The sequence below is a fragment of the Homo sapiens genome, chromosome 3 (assembly GCF_000001405.40).
Source record: "Homo sapiens chromosome 3, GRCh38.p14 Primary Assembly".
NCBI classification, from domain to species: domain Eukaryota; kingdom Metazoa; phylum Chordata; class Mammalia; order Primates; family Hominidae; genus Homo; species Homo sapiens.
The window spans coordinates 118,527,100-118,544,675 of NC_000003.12; the positions used below are offsets into that span (position 1 = coordinate 118,527,100).

General features: G+C 37.4%; 1 long non-coding RNA gene across 1 annotated transcript in view, besides 1 other annotated feature; it reads right to left on the reverse strand.

The window, feature by feature from the left end:
- LOC105374060 (uncharacterized) overlaps nt 1-17,576 on the reverse strand; it is a 302,423-nt gene that overhangs the window by 18,689 nt on the left and 266,158 nt on the right. The window lies entirely within an intron of this gene.
- Nucleotides 12,980-13,180: a silencer, noted in NCBI's record as "peak4778 fragment used in MPRA reporter construct". NCBI's record gives its function as "represses an SCP1 promoter by STARR-seq MPRAs in K562 erythroleukemia cells {active_cell/tissue: K562}" and the evidence as "EXISTENCE:reporter gene assay evidence [ECO:0000049][PMID:32103011]".

Below are 17,576 nucleotides of genomic sequence, written 5' to 3' on the forward strand. Positions count from 1 at the left end.
TTGTCCCTCTTGTATCTGGGCTGGTGCCAGCAGTCACTGTCCACATCTTGAATTCTCCCCCAGGCTTCTTCACAGGGTCAACTGAGGAGTCCTCATGCACTGTTTAAAAATCAATGTACAAAGCTCATTCAGGGAATGAGGGTTTCTCACTCTGAAAGTGAAAGAATCACAACCCTACAGCTGTGCTCCCTTCAGCCCCAGCTCTCCTACCCCACTAGGTGAAAAAACTCAGAATAAAAGGCAGCTTTACTGTCTTTTTTTAAGCAAAAGCAAAGCCCTGCCTAGTAGATGTAAACAAAAGAGTGAACATACACCTAATTTCACTCTGTTATGCAATCTTAAGCAATTTTACTCATATCTTCAGTATTTCTCACATAGGAGCAGCAGGAATAACAGTGGAAATCATTCCTACATGCAGAATCCTTTCCTCTCTCAGGTCTCAAGGTTAAAGGAGGTCAATGTGGCTAGTTACTACAGTAAGGCACTGTTTCAGTCAAAAGATCAGATGCCTCTAAGATATTTGAAGAGGGACAGTGTATTCATCCAGAGTGGAAGGAATAAAACCTCCTTGACATACAAGGGAGATATTTGCCCAGAATTTGACAGAAGTATAATAGTACTCAACTCAGGAGAGAACTAAGTTGACAGTTTTAGAATTGAAGACAGAGAGAGAATGGACAGAAGAGAAAGGAAAGTTCAGTAAGTGTGAAGGAACAAAGACAGACTTGTTTCTTGAGAATAGAAACCTTCAGAGCTCTGCCATAGGATGTCTGCACAAAATGTGGGTGATTGGCCCAGACAGAGAGGTAATATGTGTACCTTAAAAACATTAAGATTGAAATTTGAAGTTTACTGTTATCCATTGCTTATGTTTTGCTGCAAGTAACAGAATTTCTGATTAAAAGTGACAATAATGAGGATTCACTATCTTAAAAATCAAGAAATCCAGGGTTGGGGGATTTAAGGGTTGGTACAGCAGATTCACAATGTCAACAAGAACCTTGGTTTAAGCGGCTTTTCTGCTCTATTGACATTCATGTGTTGTTGATTTCCCGCCTCATTATTACAAGCTAGCTTCAGCAACTCTTGTACCCCAGCCTCACAAAACAGTATCTCAAAAAGCAAGAAAGTGGATTGGAGCATAAAGGGTATAAGCTCACGTGGCTCTGTATTTTAATGGTGGTAGTAAAGAAGGAGGGATAATTCTAGTTTCCCAGAAGACTTCTTCATGTATCCTATTGACTAAATCTAGGTTATCTGTCAGAGGAAATAGGATTGTTCTATTTGGCTTATGTTAATTAAGATCTCATTGCCTTGGGGTGAGTACATTGCTGCAAGAATAAAATTGAGGTCTTATTAGCAAGAAAAGGAATATATTTGTTAGGTAGAAAACCAAGACTCTCTCCTACATTTAGTTTCTCACATTTCCCATAGCGTATCTTAAAAATTACTTCTAGGGGTAAAATCTTTTACAGGAGGAAAGGTTTGAAGAACTGAAACTCAGATGTCTAAGAAAAAAAAAATAGAGTGAAATAAAACTTCTATCTCTGGTGAGATGGCCTAGGTAGTTGAGATGAAACACCCAAGAGAAATAGCAACTTTAAAAACTGGACAAATTATTAAAATCATCTTTTTCAAACTATCTGAGAGCTAGCAAAACAATAATCAATTATAAGGCCAGAAACTAGAAGCTTATGCGTCAGGGCTCTTCAGAGAAACAGAACCAAAAGGAGACATAAATAGAGACATGTATTTAAGAAATTGGCTTATACTAAAAATTAATAGATTAGTTTAATAGTAAATCTGATACAACTGATTAGAGAATTAATCAACTGGAAGTTAGCTCAGAAGAAAATATCCTGAATGAAGTAAGAAACAGAAGAAGATGGGAAATATAGGAGAAATTATGCAAAATAGAGAAAATACAGAGAGAAAATATTGATTGAGTGTAATTAAAATCCTAGAAGAAAGGAGAGAGAGAATATGCAAAAGCAATATTTGAAATGATAATGGCTAAGAATTTTCCAAAACAAATGAGAAATATTAAACCACAGATGCATGAAGCAATATAAATAGTAAGTAGAATAAATAAGAAAATTACACCTACACACAGCATGGTAAAATTGCTAAAACCCAAAGATAAAGATAAATTCTTAAAAGTAGCTAGAGAAAAATGACAAAATACTTTCAAAAAGTAACAGTAATATAAAATCTGACTTCTCAATGGAAAAAAAAATGTATCTTCAAATTTCTGAAAAAAATAATTGCAAAGCAAGAATTGCATAACAAGTAAAATGAAAATGAAATAAAGACATGCATTAGTCCATTCTCACCCTGCTATAAAAAAATGCCCAAGACTGGGTAATTTAGAAAGGAAAGGCAGTTCTGCATGGCTGGGGAGGTCTCAGGAAACTTACAATCATGGCAGAAGGCAAAGGAGAAGCAAAGCACCTTCTTCACAAGGCAACAGAATGCAGCAGGAACTACCAAACACTTATAAAACCATCACATCTTATGAGAACTCACTCACTATTATAAGAACAGTATGGGGGAAACTGCCCCCGTGATTCAACTACCTCTGCCTAGTCTCTCCCCTTACACGTGGGATTTATGGGGATTACAATTCAAGATGAGACTTTGGCTGAGGACATAGCCAAACCATCTCAGACATGTTCACACAAATAAAAACTAAGAGAATTGTCAACATTACTTGTTCACTAAAGGAAATACTAAAAGAAAGGAATATATGGACAAATCTACTTATTGGCCAAAATATGAGTAATGCCTGTGAGTTTTACTCATAGAGAATTAAAATACTTGAAACCAAAGCATATAGGTTGGAAAGGAGAACAAAGGTAAAACAAAACTTGTAAGTTCTTGCATTTTGCAGAAAGAGATGAAAGTCCTGATTTGCATTAGACATCAATAAATTGAGAAAATATGTAATATGTAAGATAACCACTAAAAAATAGTAAGAAAGTACATATCACCTACTAAATGAGGTAAAATGCAATAACAAAAATAACCATTTCAAAAAGGGACATTTCTTTGTCATTCATCATGTAAACAAAATGAAGGAGATAAAGCATATGATCATCTCAAAAAAACTTAGCAAAAAGTATTTGATAACTTTTAGTATCTATTTATGAAGAAAAAAACCTCATCCAACTGGTGTCAGTCAAGGAAAATACCAAGGCAAGTCTCAATCATTTAAGGAGGTTTCTTTGCCAAAGCTAAGGTTGCATGCCCAGAAGACAGGTCTATGCGCTTCTCCAAAGATGATTTTGAGGGCTTCAGTACTTAAAGGGAAAAGGGTGGGATATTGAAAAATACTTAATTTTCATGTGAGAAGGGAGCAGGGGAAAACAGTCATTCATGCCTTTATCTGGCTCAGTGAATCTGCATTTTTACACAAGATAACATAGTCAATAGGCCAGAAGAAACAATAAGATATGCATTTGGCACAGGTAGGCAGAGGGAGGACTTTCAGTTTTGTGAAGATAAGCTATGAATTTACATTGCCACGATGAACTTTAACAGAAATGCTTTAGGGTAAAGATCTTGGGGCCCACAAGGAATTTCCTTTTGGGCAAAACATGAGGGAGGTATGTAGTTTTCCATCTTTGTAGCCATCTTATTTAGGAAACAAAATGGGAGGCAGGTTTGCATGACCCAGTTCCCAGCTTGCCTTTTCCCTTTTGTTACTGGAAAGCAGTCCAATCCAGACCTCAAGACAGGGTTCTTGGATCTCGCGCAAGAAAGAATTTGAGGCAAGTCCAGAGACTAAAGTGAAAGCAAGTTTATTAAGAAAGTAAAGGAATAAAAGTATGGCTATTCCACAGGTAGAGCAGCCCCAAGGGCTGCTGGTTGCCATTTTTATGGTTATTTCTTGATTATATGCCAAACAAGGGGAGGATTATTCATGGAAAAGGGGTGGGCAATTCCTGGAACTGAGGGTTGCTCCCCTTTTTAAACCATATAGGGTAAATCCTGACATTGCCATGGCATTTGTAAACTGTCAAGGTGCTGGTGGGAGTGTCTTTTAGCATGCTAATGCACTATAATTAGCATATGATGAACAGTGAGGACAACCAGAGGTTACTCTTGTGGCCATCTTGGTTTTGGGTTTTAGCCAGCTTCTTTTCTGCAGCCTGTTTTATCAGCAAGGTCTTTATGACCTGTATCTTGTGCTGACCTCCTATTTCACCCTGTGACTTAGAATGCCTAACCTCCTGGGAATGCAGCTCAGTAGGTCTCAGCCCTATTTTACCCAGCCTCTATACAAGGTAGAGTTGCTCTCGTTTAAAAGTCTCTGACACTTTGGCTTTGTGAGTCTAGGGTCCCAAGATTTATTTTCTTTTCACACTGGAAATAGAACTTTTTGAAAAGTTTCGTTGAAGTAAAATAAACATACACATTTTGAAAGCCAATGATTTTATAAGTTTTAACATGCGTATATCCCTGTGAAACTATCATCACAATTCAGATAATATGCATATCCATCATCACCAAGAAACTCCTTGAATTCCTTTGTAATTCCTCTTTTCTGCCCCATCTCAGAGCCACCCCAAGCCCCAGTGAAATATTGTTTTGCTTTTGGTTATTATCATTTTGTTTGCATTTTTTTAGAATTATGCAAATGGAATCATATAGACTGTACTATTTTTTTGTCTGGCTTGTTTCACTCAGCCTAATTATTTTGAGGATCATTCATGTTGTTTTATGTATTGTGGGTGTTCAGTCAAGATGGTGGGAGAAATTGTAAAATTACAGGAAATAAACACAAACCGTCTTGGAAGGCCTGGAGGTTTGCATAAACTGTTTGGCTGAAGGCAGCTGAATCCACTTAATAGCTAAAGGTGCAGACACAAAGGAATGTAGAATAGTTTATCTAAATAGCTTGTTTAGTCATGTGGTCCTAAGACCAACCTTTGACGCAGGTACATAATTGCTCTCTACTTCGGGGGTTGGCAACCAGGTCAATTACCCTCTAGTGGTGTTTACTCAAGACCTTTATCACTTAATCTATACTGAATAAATGCAATCTTCTCTGGCCAAACAGGGCCATGGCTGCTACTCTTTACAGCACCTTCTTTGGTGTCTGTGAGGAGTCCAGACCCTTAGCTAAACTGACAGGCAGAATATCTGTGTCAGTGTACAGTATTCATCTGTTATTGAGTCAGGGTCTGCGGGATGAACCCTGCAATGTATCAACAGTTCATTCCTTTTAACTGCTGAGTGGTATTCTATTGTATGGGTATACCATATTCATTTGTGTATTCACTTGTTGAATGGACCTTTAGATTGTTTCCAGTTTGGCTGATTACAAATAAAACCACTACGAACATTTGTGTGCAAGCCTTTGTAAAAATATAGGCTTTTATTTCTCTTGGGTATATACCTAAGAGTAGAATGGCTGGGCCACATGGTAAGTAATATTTAACTTTTTATGAAATTGCCAAACTGTTTTTCTAAATTAATTCCACCATTTTACATTCTCACCAGCAGTGTGTGAGAATTCCATTTTCTTCACATTTTTACCAACACTTGATTATTTTAAAATTTTTTATTTTAGCCTTTCTAATAGGTATGTAGTGGTTTTAATTTCCCTAATGACTAAAAATGTTAAAAAAATTTTATATGCGCTTATTTGCCACTCTTTTAACTTCTTTGGTAAAATAACTTTAAATCTGTGTACATTTTAAAATTTGGTTCTTCATATATTATTACTAAGTTTTGAGAGGTTTCAAAAATATATAGCCTCGGTACCATTCCTTTGTCAGATGTATGATGTGTAAATATTTTATACCAGTCTGTGCTTGTCTTTTAATTTTCTTACTTGTATAAAGAGTAGAAACTTTTAATTTTGATGAAGTTTAAGTTATTATTTTTTCTTTTAGAGATTGTGCATTGGTATCAAATCTAAGAAATTCTTGCTTAACACAAGATCACAAAGATTTTATCTTATTTTTTCTCTTAAAACTTTTATGTTTCAGATTTTATGCTTATGTCTATGATTCATTTATAATGTTCATATTTTTGCACATGAATATCCAATTGTTCCAGCACCATCAGTTGAAAAGACTATCCTTCCTCCAGTGAATTGCCTTTTTACCTAAGCCTTTGTCAAAAATAAGTTGTCCGTATATGTGTGGGTCTATTTATAGATTCAGTATTGTTTTCCACTGATCGTTTTGTCTCTCTTGATGCCAACACTGCATTGTTTTGATTACTGTAGCTCTATAATAAATCTGAATTTAGCCCTCCAAGCTTGTTCTTTTTTGGAATTGTTTTGGCCACACCAAGTCTTGTATATTTCTCTATTAAATTTCAAATCAGCTTGTCAATTTGTATGAAAAATTCAGTCAAATGTAGAATAAGTATTTAAGTGGCTACTTCAGATATTTAATTAAAGTGCCTGTACATGTAATGAGTAAAAAAATCTATTATCTCATTAACTCACTCTGTGGCTTTCATGCATTCATCTTATTCTGCACAAAATTCAAATGAGTGTTTCATCAAGTTTACAAATTACTAGAGTATACTGATAAGTGCTATTTATTGAGCAAATACTCAATGTTCAATACTCAAAGTCCCCAGTGTTCTGGGGACTATACCAACCATTTTTCTACATTATTTAATTTAATCCTCACAACAACCAGTGAGAAAAGTTCTATGATTCCTTTCTGTTTAACAGATTAAGACATTCAGACTCAGAAAGGTGATATAATTTGCCCCAGATCACACACTCCACTCCTGATTTGATGCCAGATCTGACTCACTGACCGTTAAGTTGCACTGCCTCTGAAGCACTAGAGATTTAATCAGATAATTATATTCATGCCTTATCTGCTCTTTGCTGGTCTATAACCCCCACAAAGACAGAAATGCCAGTGCTCACAGAACACCTTGAACATAATTATATGGTAGCCATCCAATAGATTTTTTTGAAAGTGAGTGAATGTATGAACAAATGAATGAATGGATAAGAAAAGAGGAAAATAAATGTTAACCGGGTTGAGGCATTTAGGATTTGGGTTTGGTGAATGGTGGTGCATATTTCTGTAAGGTTTTTTGTAGTGTTTTGTGATGACTTATAAAAAGTTGAAGTCTGGACTGCAAGGGAGTTAGTCAAAGAAGTTGCCCATGTAGAAATGAAATCTGTCAGTACCAGTTAAAGAACAGTCTGGTAAGCCCTGAAACCTAGTTATGACCTCTCAACAAATATTGTAGAATAAGTGTCTGCACAAGAAAACACAATGATTTAGGAAATAATTTTCATGAACTAAAAATCTTAATTACTTAACTAAATATCACTATTTTATTTGAATGCCTTTAGAATTTTGAATACTGAAGAAACCTTGATTCTGCCTTTCAGTTTCAACACAAAGAAATGGAGCCTCAGAGAGATGATGGCCCTATCTAATGTTACACAGTTTGCTGTTAACAGAAATCCAAATACACTAATTCCCAGTCCAATACTCACTCCTTCACAACACATAGTCTCTATGTATATCCAATCGTAGATAATCTCATACATTTTATGACATGTAGACTAAAAAGGGATTTCTGCAGGCAGGATTAATGTCTTCCCAGTCTCTAGAGAGAAGAATGGTAAAGTCAAATAAGCAGGGATCTAGGAAGCTTCAAGAACAAGCTGAAAACATGTTTCCCTCCTGTTAGCCTTGCTGACAGTTCCAGTGAATGCCAAATTTCCGTAGTATTTGCAAGAGAAGCTGAGACTTTCTCTTTAGCCTGGATGGATTCTAATTTGGAACATTCTTCTATGGCAACCTATTGCCATATTATTTGACTTTATATTTGCACAATATTTACAACTAGGTACCAGTAATATGAAATTATATTCATTATCTTTAATTTTCCCTATGACCTTGAAAATTAGGTACAATTATCATTCTTGTTTAATAGATGAAGTTAAAAAAAATAACTCAGAATGTATAAGAACACACCTGAGGTGACACGACTAATAAGATATAGGGCCAGATATCAAACCCAGGTCCTGGTGATGTCAAAGTCTTTGTTCTTGCCACACAGTGCAAAAAGACTGACAGAGCAGAATGATGCATCCTAATCAGCACATACTGTCACCAAGCTGGTCAGTAAGTGTTCTGGTTTGCTAGACAGTAAAAGGATCCTTTGTAGGAGAAATCTACGGTTAGAAAATCACTCTTTCATAGATAGGGGAGGGATATAAAAGCAGATGAAAGAGCGTCAGAAAAAAAAAATCATAATTAAAAATAATTGATAACTTGTACAATCGCTTTACAAAGTATATTCTTATTTAATTCTTACAATAGCACTAAGAAGTGTGCACTATATTCATTGTAGTTAAAAGTAAACAGTAGGAGGCTTTTAGACTTAGTGACTTATTTAAAGACACAGCTAGGAAATAGTGAGTCTTATTTCCAAGCCAACTTTCTTAACCTGGAGGTTAAAAATCACCTTAAAATGGAAAGGAACAGAGAAACAAAAGAAAGTACCAGGTAATTGCACATGTAACAGGATAAGGTGAACACCAAGTTAAAATTTGCAGTTTTTACTTAAAGAGGAATCATTATTGTTAAAGACTAGTTTCAAAAAAAAGTAGTCTTTAAAACACCTTCTACAGTTCTATAAAGCTAAAGTTGGAATTTTTTTCTTGTTGTGAGACTTAATAATATATAAGTTTCCAGTTATAAGAAGTTACATTGTTTGTCTCTATGCAGAACAGTTTGTTTGGCATGAAATTGAGCAGTACGATTGTGTTTACTAATAATAATTAGAAAACCAGGCTGGGCCTGGTGGCTCATGCCTATAATTCCAGCATTTGGGAAGGCAAATACCCTTAATTATAATGCTCCATTTTTCTTTTTTTAATCTACTTCTTAATTTTCTGTCAAGTTCCAATCCCAGCATTTGTGGGCAAACCACAAGGTCAAGAGATCGAGACCATCCTGGCCAACATGGTGAAAACCAATCTCTACTCAAAATTAGCTGGGCGTGGTGGCGCACGACTGTAGTCCCAGCTACTCTGGAGACTGAGGCAAGAGAATAGCTTGAACCCGGGAGGTGGAGGTTGCAGTGAGCCAAGATCGTGTCACTGCACTCCAGCCTGGCAACAGAGCGAGACTCCGTCTTAAAAAAAAAAAAAAAGAAAACCAATAGTTATGTAATTCACCACAAATGATAATGGAACATGAAAAATGTATATCCATTATTTAGTCTCTAGCTCCAAATCAGACTAATAACAAGAGAAAGATATAAGCCATGATGGATCTCATTCTCTGACCTGCATAGGAATTTGGGGGATTTCAATCCCACCCCTGCCCCATCCCTTTTGAGTTCATGAGTTGCCTAAAGCCTTTGCTCAAAGAAAGCAGCCTCACGGTTTACTAAGAAGTATATTTAGCTAAGATCCTCAGTGCCTACTATGCACCTTGGCCTCTCTTCCCAAATTAAACATCTCTCCATGAAAACCCTAGGAACTTAGGAGTTACCTTCAGACACATGGGCTTTAAAAGAGACAGATAAGATTTGAGTCCATCTCCACCACTTAGTTGTTTATGACATTAGAGAATATAGTAAGAACTTCAGGTCATCCTGAACTTCTTGGTATCCAGTCTCACCTTTTTCTACAAAAATAGAATTTTTAGTTTGGCACACTGCCACCCAAAATACGGACAATGTAGTATTCCTAGCTTTCCTTGCAACTAATTCCTTTATATGTCCTATATGACTAATTCTGCCCAGTTTAAATGAAAATGTCTTATGAGCAATTTCTCATAACTTCCTGAAGAGTAACCTTCCAGGTGTACTCTTTGCCCCTTGTTACTCATCCTTTCCTTAACGCTGTTGCCTAAAACACAGATCCCTCCAGAAACAATGAGGCTAATGGTCACACCCAGTAGATGTCAGAATGGTGAACTGGTAAGAATCTTGGTCTTTGTGGACTTGGAACAGAGCCACACTCTGCCGTCCAAACCCTGGACTAACATCTCTGCATAGTTACATGATACAGAAATAAGATTCCAAATTACTTGTTATTTCAAGGTTTTCTTCTATTGCATTCAAACCTAATCTGAACTAACGTAGTCAAGTTAAATAAAATAATAATAATAGTATGTTCATAGCTCAGAGGTTTATTTTGAGGATTACATGAGAAAATGCATGCAAATACAAACCTGGATAATAAGAATTAAATGTTAATCATTATTGTTAATATTATGATTGTATTTCTTGCCTATTGAAGACAATTTTCTTGTCATGCCTTGCCCAGAAATTATGATTTTTGAGGCATTTCCTCAGACTAAGATATTATTAGAAAAGATGTAAATGTTCTTATTGAATTGCTGCAGTCTTCATAGCCAAGGCTATTTCTTTCTCCATACTAACAGAATTTTGTATAAAGAATAAAAGATCAGGGTTAGACTGCCCAGAAATTAGACTACCAGGTTTTTCTTTCTAACTCATCTTTTCCGGTATCTATTATCAGTCATAAGTGCTCTTGTCAATTAGAATATTATTGTATGATATTGTTCAGTTTTCAAGAATGCAGTCTGTTTTAAATTACGCTTAAATACATTATACTTTAGGATTGTCACTTCCTGGCACCTTAAAGTTGTTAGCAAATTATCTCCAAATGAAAACATAAAATGGATTATTTCTGGGAAGGGTTCTGAATAAGTGTATGTTGATTCTCTCACCTTTGTTACTAAATAATTTAGAATATAAGTTTCCTCCCTACTCATCACAGAGGTATAATGTTAAGTGCAAAACGAGTAGTGCTGAATCACGGGAGAGAGAAATTGCTGAGAACTGCACAAGCCAAGGAAATTGTCACCAAAGGGACAGAACTTGATAGAAGAGTAAGATTTAGATTAAAAAAAGAAAAACGGAGCATTATAGTTAAGGGTACTAGTATGTACAGAGGGACAGAGACAGAGAGTAAGCCAACCTCGCTGAAGCAGCGTTTATATAGAAAGGCAGTCTCGGGTGTCAAAAAGGTACACTGAGATTGGAATGTGAGAGGCCTAGAATGCTAAGTGAAGAAATTTGGACTTTAGAGTCAATAGACAGCAATGACGGGTATTGAGCAAAAATGTGAATGAGCAAAATAATGGACTAACTTGTGGCAGTGAACTGGATTAATTTGAAGTGAAAAAGATAAAGAGAATGACTTAGGAGACTTTTTAAAAAACAGCTTTATTCAATATAATTCACAGAACATAAAATTCACCAACTTAAAGTCTACAATTTGATGATTGTTAGTATATTCAGATATTGCGCAACCATCATCACAACCTAAATTTAGAATATTTTTGTTTCTCCCTAAAAGAAATCTTGTACTCATTAGCAGCCAATCTCATTTTTCCCTACCTCATCAGCCCTTGCAACCAATAATCAAGAGACTTAATGTCTCTATAAATTTGCATATTCTGGACATTTCATATAAATGGAATCACATGACATATAGTCTTTTATGACTGGCTTCTTTCACTTAGCATAATGTTTCTGAGAGTCATCTATGTTGTAGCATGTATCAATATTTTATTTTTTTTCTTTGCTAATAATAACCCATAACATGCATATACCACAATTTATTTATCTATTCATCAGTTGATTGACATTTTAAGTTGATTCCACTTTTAGACAACTATAAATAATGCTGCCATGAACATTTTTGCACAAGTTTTCATATGGACATATGTTTTTATTTCTTTTGAGTATATACATAGGATATTGCTTGGTCATATGATAGCTTTCTTTAGCATTTTGAGGAATGGTGAAACTGTGTTCCAAAGTAGCTACACCATATTGCATTTCTACCAGCAAAGTATGAGGGTTTTAATTTCTCCACATCCTTGAAAACACTTGCAATTGTCTGCTTTTCTGAATATAGCCATCTTCGCAGGTAGGTGTGAAGTGGTATCTCATTGCATTTCCCTAATGACTAATAATGTTGAGTATCCATTCATGTGCTTATTGTCCCTCTGTACATCTTCCTTGGAGAAATGTCTATTCAGATCCTTGTGTTGTCTTTTTATTACTGAATTGTAAGAGTTATTTACAACTTAGTTATGTATTCTAGATGTAAGTCCCTTATCAGGTATCTGATTTGCAAATATTTACTCTCATTCTGTGGATTGTATTTTTACTTTCTTGAGGTGAAAAGTAAAATTTTAACTATTTTTTCTTCTGTTTCTTTTGCTTTTACTGTCTGTCTCAAGCATCTATGCTTACCTTTCTTCTAGGAGTTTTATAATTTTAGCTCTTACATTTCGGTCTACAATCCTTTTAGAGTTAACTTTGTTACATACGTGGTGTAAGGTAGGGATACAACTTTCTGCTTTTGCATGTGGATATCCAGTTGCCCTATCACCATTTGTTAAAATAGTAGACTTGCACATACAATCTAAGTGTGTAATAATAAGGTCCTGACAATAGTAATGGGAACCACTAGGAAAACCTTATAAAGAATAAAGATTAGTGGTCAGGCAATGGGGAGGCAGGAGATGGGTATGACTAGGTAACCAGTTGAGTAGTGTTACCGCCAATATGAATAGGAAAGTCAGGGGAGGAAGAAGTTTTTAGAATAAGATGAGCTCTATTTCGGACATGTGAGTTCACATTGCCCAAGTGAAAACGTATAAAACATCTGAGAAGATGCCAAATGGTGATGTAATGCTGAGAGTATCCTTCATGGAGATGCTAACTAAGTACTTTTCCATAGGAAAAATTTAGAGATTAAACTGAAGGGGGCCAGCCCCTTCACACCTGTGGGTGTTTCTCGTCAGGTGGGATGAGAGACTGAGAAAAGAAATAAGACACAGAGACAAAGTACAGACAAAGAACAATGGGCCCAGGGGACCGGCGCTCAGCATACTGAGGACCTGTGCCGGCGCTGGTCTCTGAGTTCCCTCCGTATTTATTGATCACTATCTCTACCATCTCGGGGAGGGGAATGTGGCAGGACTATAGGGCAATGGTGGGGAGAGGGTCAGCAGGAAAACATGTGAGCAAAGATCTCTGTGTCATAAATAAGTTTAAGGAAAGGTGCTGTGCCTTGATGTGCACCTAGGCCAGATTTATGTTTGACTTTACACAAACATCTCGGTGCATTAAAGAGCAGTATTGCCGCCAGCATGTCTCACCTCCAGCCATAAGGCGGTTTTCTCCTATCTCAGTAAATAGAACATATGATCGGGTTTTACACCTAGACATTCCATTCCCAGGGACGAGCAGGAGACAGATGCCTTCCTCTTATCTCAACTGCAAAGAGGCCTTCCTCTTTCACTAATCCTCCTCAGCACAGACCCTTTACGGGTGTTGGGCTGGGGGACAGTCAGGTCTTTCCCTTCCCACGAGGCCATATCTCAGGCTATCACATGGGGAGAAACCTTGGACAATACCCAGGCTTTCTTGGGCAGAGGTCCCTGCGGCCTTCCGCAGTGCATTGCGTCCCTGGGTACTTGAGATTAGAGAATGGCGATGACTTTTACCAAGCATACTGCCTTCAAACACATTTTTAACAAAGCACATCCTGCACAGCCCTAAATCCATTAAGCCTTGAGTCAACACAGCACATGTCTCTGCAAGCACAGAGTTGGGGCTAGGGTTACAGATTAACAGCATCTCAAGGCACAGGAATTTCTCTTAGTACAGAACAAAATGGAGTTTCTTATGTCTACTTCTTTCTACATAGACACAGTAACAGTCTGATCTCTCTTTCTTTTCCCCACATTAAACAATACCAAGAGCAACAATTTTATTAAGAGAAAAATAAGAGGCAGAATAAAATACATTTTTAAGTAATGTATTATGTAATTTACCCATTCACTCCTTCAATAAATGTTTATGGTACCCGTAACATGTACCAGGAACTACACCAACTACCCAGTGCCAAAGGAAACAACAATTGACATGGCCTTTGTCTTCATGACACTTTCTATCTAGAGCAGCAAGATAGACAACTCACTGAACAATTGCAGTACAATGATAAATGCATGATGAAGAAAGACCAACATGCAACAGAAAGCACTCACCCCAGTCCAAGGGTGTCTTTAAAAGTGTTGGATGAACTTTTGCCTAACCTGAAACCTAAAGATTTAACAGAAAAAAGCCAAAGAAAGAAGCAGGAGGGGCAGGGGAAGCATTCCAGGTAGAGGAAATAGAACATGTAAAGGAATGGAACATAGAGAATGTTGTTCTTTGGAAAAACTGCCAAAAGATGTCTGTTCTGGCCAGAGGCTCAACCCCGAAAGATAGGTGGTAGGAGGTGAGGTGAGACAGACAAGCCGCTAAATCATGAAAGGCCTGGTCAACTGTCCTCACGCCTCCTGAACTTGCTCTCTCCTTTCATCAGAAAGTTCTATCACTCAGCCTTTGTCTTTTCTCACTCACCAGAACCAGTGCTCAGCTTCAACCTCAGGCTCTGCTTCCTTTAACACCTGGACACCTACCTTTGGACATGTCCCTCTGCTTGTGTCACCGTCCTCACCTACTCCATTTGTTTCCCTGTTAATACCGAAGAGTAGCATGAGAACCATTGCTAGAGTTGGACTAATTCACCCACTCCAGGGGCTGGCCAACTCCCCATAGCAGCTTATCTGTTGAAGTGCTGTACCCGTAACCACTCCCAGGGGCTTCCTCAGCTTCTCCTGAAATGGTGATCCCACTACATGACAAACCCTTTCTCTCTGTCCTGGCAGAGATACCCATCTCTCTTTGTCCTGCATTGGATATAGTTTTAAAGGATAGACTGGCATAGGGAAAAGAGCTTCCATTTTGAATCAGACAAGGCTGAATTCTAATACCAGCTTTGCCACCCATTGGCTATGTGGGCATGCATGACTGACTTAATCTGAGTCTGGTTTCCTGACTTGCAAAATCAGGGTAATGCTTATTCAGGAGTTAGCATTTTAAATGAGAGAGATAGGCAAAGGGCGTGGCATGTAGTAAGTATTTAATTAATGCTGGTTTGTTTTCTTTCTGTATATGGCAAAGAGTTTCCCTTCTATGCCTCATATTTCTGCCTGGGCGCTCCAGTGTTTCCCCTGGGACTTGGATCCCTAAATTACCCACCATTCATATTTTACTCCTTATTGTGTCTTGCCCTTTAACCACACACACACACACAAGCTTCTCCAGTCTTGAAAATATCTCAGCCTAATGTCCACCTCCTTTTCTCTTTTCTTTCTTTCTCTCTCTACATCTAACTCTCTTTCCCTCCTCTCCTACTTTTCTGTCTCTCTTCTTTCTGGTTGTGTCTGTCTCTCTCTCTCTCCCTTTTCTCTCCTAATTTTCTCTCTCTTTCTCTCTCTCTCTCTCTCTCTTTCTCTGCCCTCCTCCTCTGTCACATTTCCAGCTTTTCAAATGAATTTTCTATACTCACTGCTCCTATTACCTTACCACCCTCTCGCCTTTTCATTGCCTCCTATCAAGTGTTTACTCCTTTTCCTGTTCTGAAATCTCTCTTTGGGAACTCCTTTTCCTGTTCTGAAACCTCACTGCCAAAAAAGGATGGCTTTTTCTCTTGGTATCATACACACACAACACACACACACATTACAAGATATGCCTTGACATGAAGACAAATCACTGAGAACAAAATCCTCTGTTTGGTTTAATATCTCACTAAGTGGTTGTTGTCTACTCTGAGTATATACATGTGTTTCATGTCCAGTTTCATGAACTGATTCGGAGATCAGAGATCTTGGGTTGCCTATAAGAAAAATGGTCCAACCCTTGATAGGAGGACTGATAGAAAATTCTACAAATCAGTAATAATTATAGAGCCTGAATCAAAGCAAATGCAAACCAAACAAAAACGCAAAGTGAAATAAAATTTGCCTTGGACACATGATTTAAGAAAGAGAATAAAATAGGCGATCGATTTAAAAGTTGAAATTGAAAAACAGAGGTTTTTGACAAAGAAAGTTCAAGTTAGAAATGTCAGATTTTCAGCATTATATTTTAAATTTATTTTTATGTAAAAATAATTCAAGTTGAGTTATTTGTTTTGAAAACTTGACTCCTGTCTTCACACTCTATCTGGGAAACAGATGTAAAAATAGCTCACTGCTACTTGAATAGAAGTGGCTATGGACTTTATGGGGATGGAGGTCCCTTATGTCCTCTATGTTTGAGGACTTGGCTCCACTGGTGATATCTCACCTTTCTAGAAGTTTATCTTAGCCACTTGATCTAATCACCTTCATCCCTCACTTGATGTCTGAGGAAACATCAATCTGAACCCATAGCAAGCTGCTGGCAGCCCAACATTGATGTTACTCCAGTGAATTTTCTTAAAAGGGAAGGTGGTGCTCATCCAAGGGAGATGAAAGTGATGGAAACACTGAGGGCCATCCAGCGACCTCAGCTGGACTCTAGTAACATATCCTCCTAGTTGTCCGGTTAAGATCAAACCCAGTGTGGCTAAGAGGAAAGTCTGCCAGGTTCAAGTATTAATAAAATAAAATGTATGAATTCACACATGCAGAAGAGAAAAGAATGAAGAGAATTAAACCTTAAATTTGGTAATGATTATATGGCTTAGGGAAAATTTTTATTTTACTCTTTATATTTTTCTGATTTCCAAATGTCCTGCAATGCACTGGTGTTGGTAAGATAATATAAAAAATTATAAAAGACAAAATTTAAAGGCTGTCTCTGATGATATAAAGAGAAGAGACATGAGTCTGTACTAATTGGGGAAAGTACGGATGAGGAAATTTGAAGCTATATCCAAAGTAGTTTTTTCATTGTATCCTTTCTCTCTGTTTCCACATTCACTTACCTCCCTGTTCTGGATCTGTATCACTAGATTATGGTAAACTATCTTGCAATTTATTTCCTCACTTCCAAGCTGCACTCAAGACAGCCTCTCCCACACAGAAACAGCACATCCTGCTGCAAACACCGTCTTTGCCTGTCAACCTCCTCTTTAGTCACTTATAATGACATCCTGTCACATCAGATTTCACTCAGAAGTTGTCTAGTATTCAGTAGCTTTTCTTAACTATTCCTTTGCAATATTTTCTTCTCCATTCCTACTTCTCACTAAAACTTAATGAGGCCTCTGTGTTTCAGTGATTCTCAAAGTGCAGTCTCCAGACCAAAAGTATAAGCATCACTTGGGAACTTGTTAGAAATGCCTAGGCTTGGGTGGGTGACACTCTAGACCTACTCAATCAGAAATTCCATGTTTTAACATCCAGGTATTTCTGGTACACATGAATGTTTGAGAAGCTCTGAGCTAAACCAAACTGCTGGATTTCTTCAAATCTTGTTTGTTCATTTACACCTGGTTGTCTTTATTCATGGTTTGGAAGCCTGTAATGTGTCCACTTGGGTAGGATTAACTACATTTCCCAGAATTTCCTGACCTGTAGGTTTCTGGATAGATTGGGCCATGAGAGCTTGTAGTACAAGATTGGGAGAGCGGAAGTGCTGCAGCAGCCATTTATTTCGTGGCTCACACATGGTGTCATTTACCTGCTGACTCACGTCCTGGGTGTGGAGCAGCAGCTGGCTGTGCTGCTGTTCTACAATACTCTGAACTCTCCTTTACCTTCTCT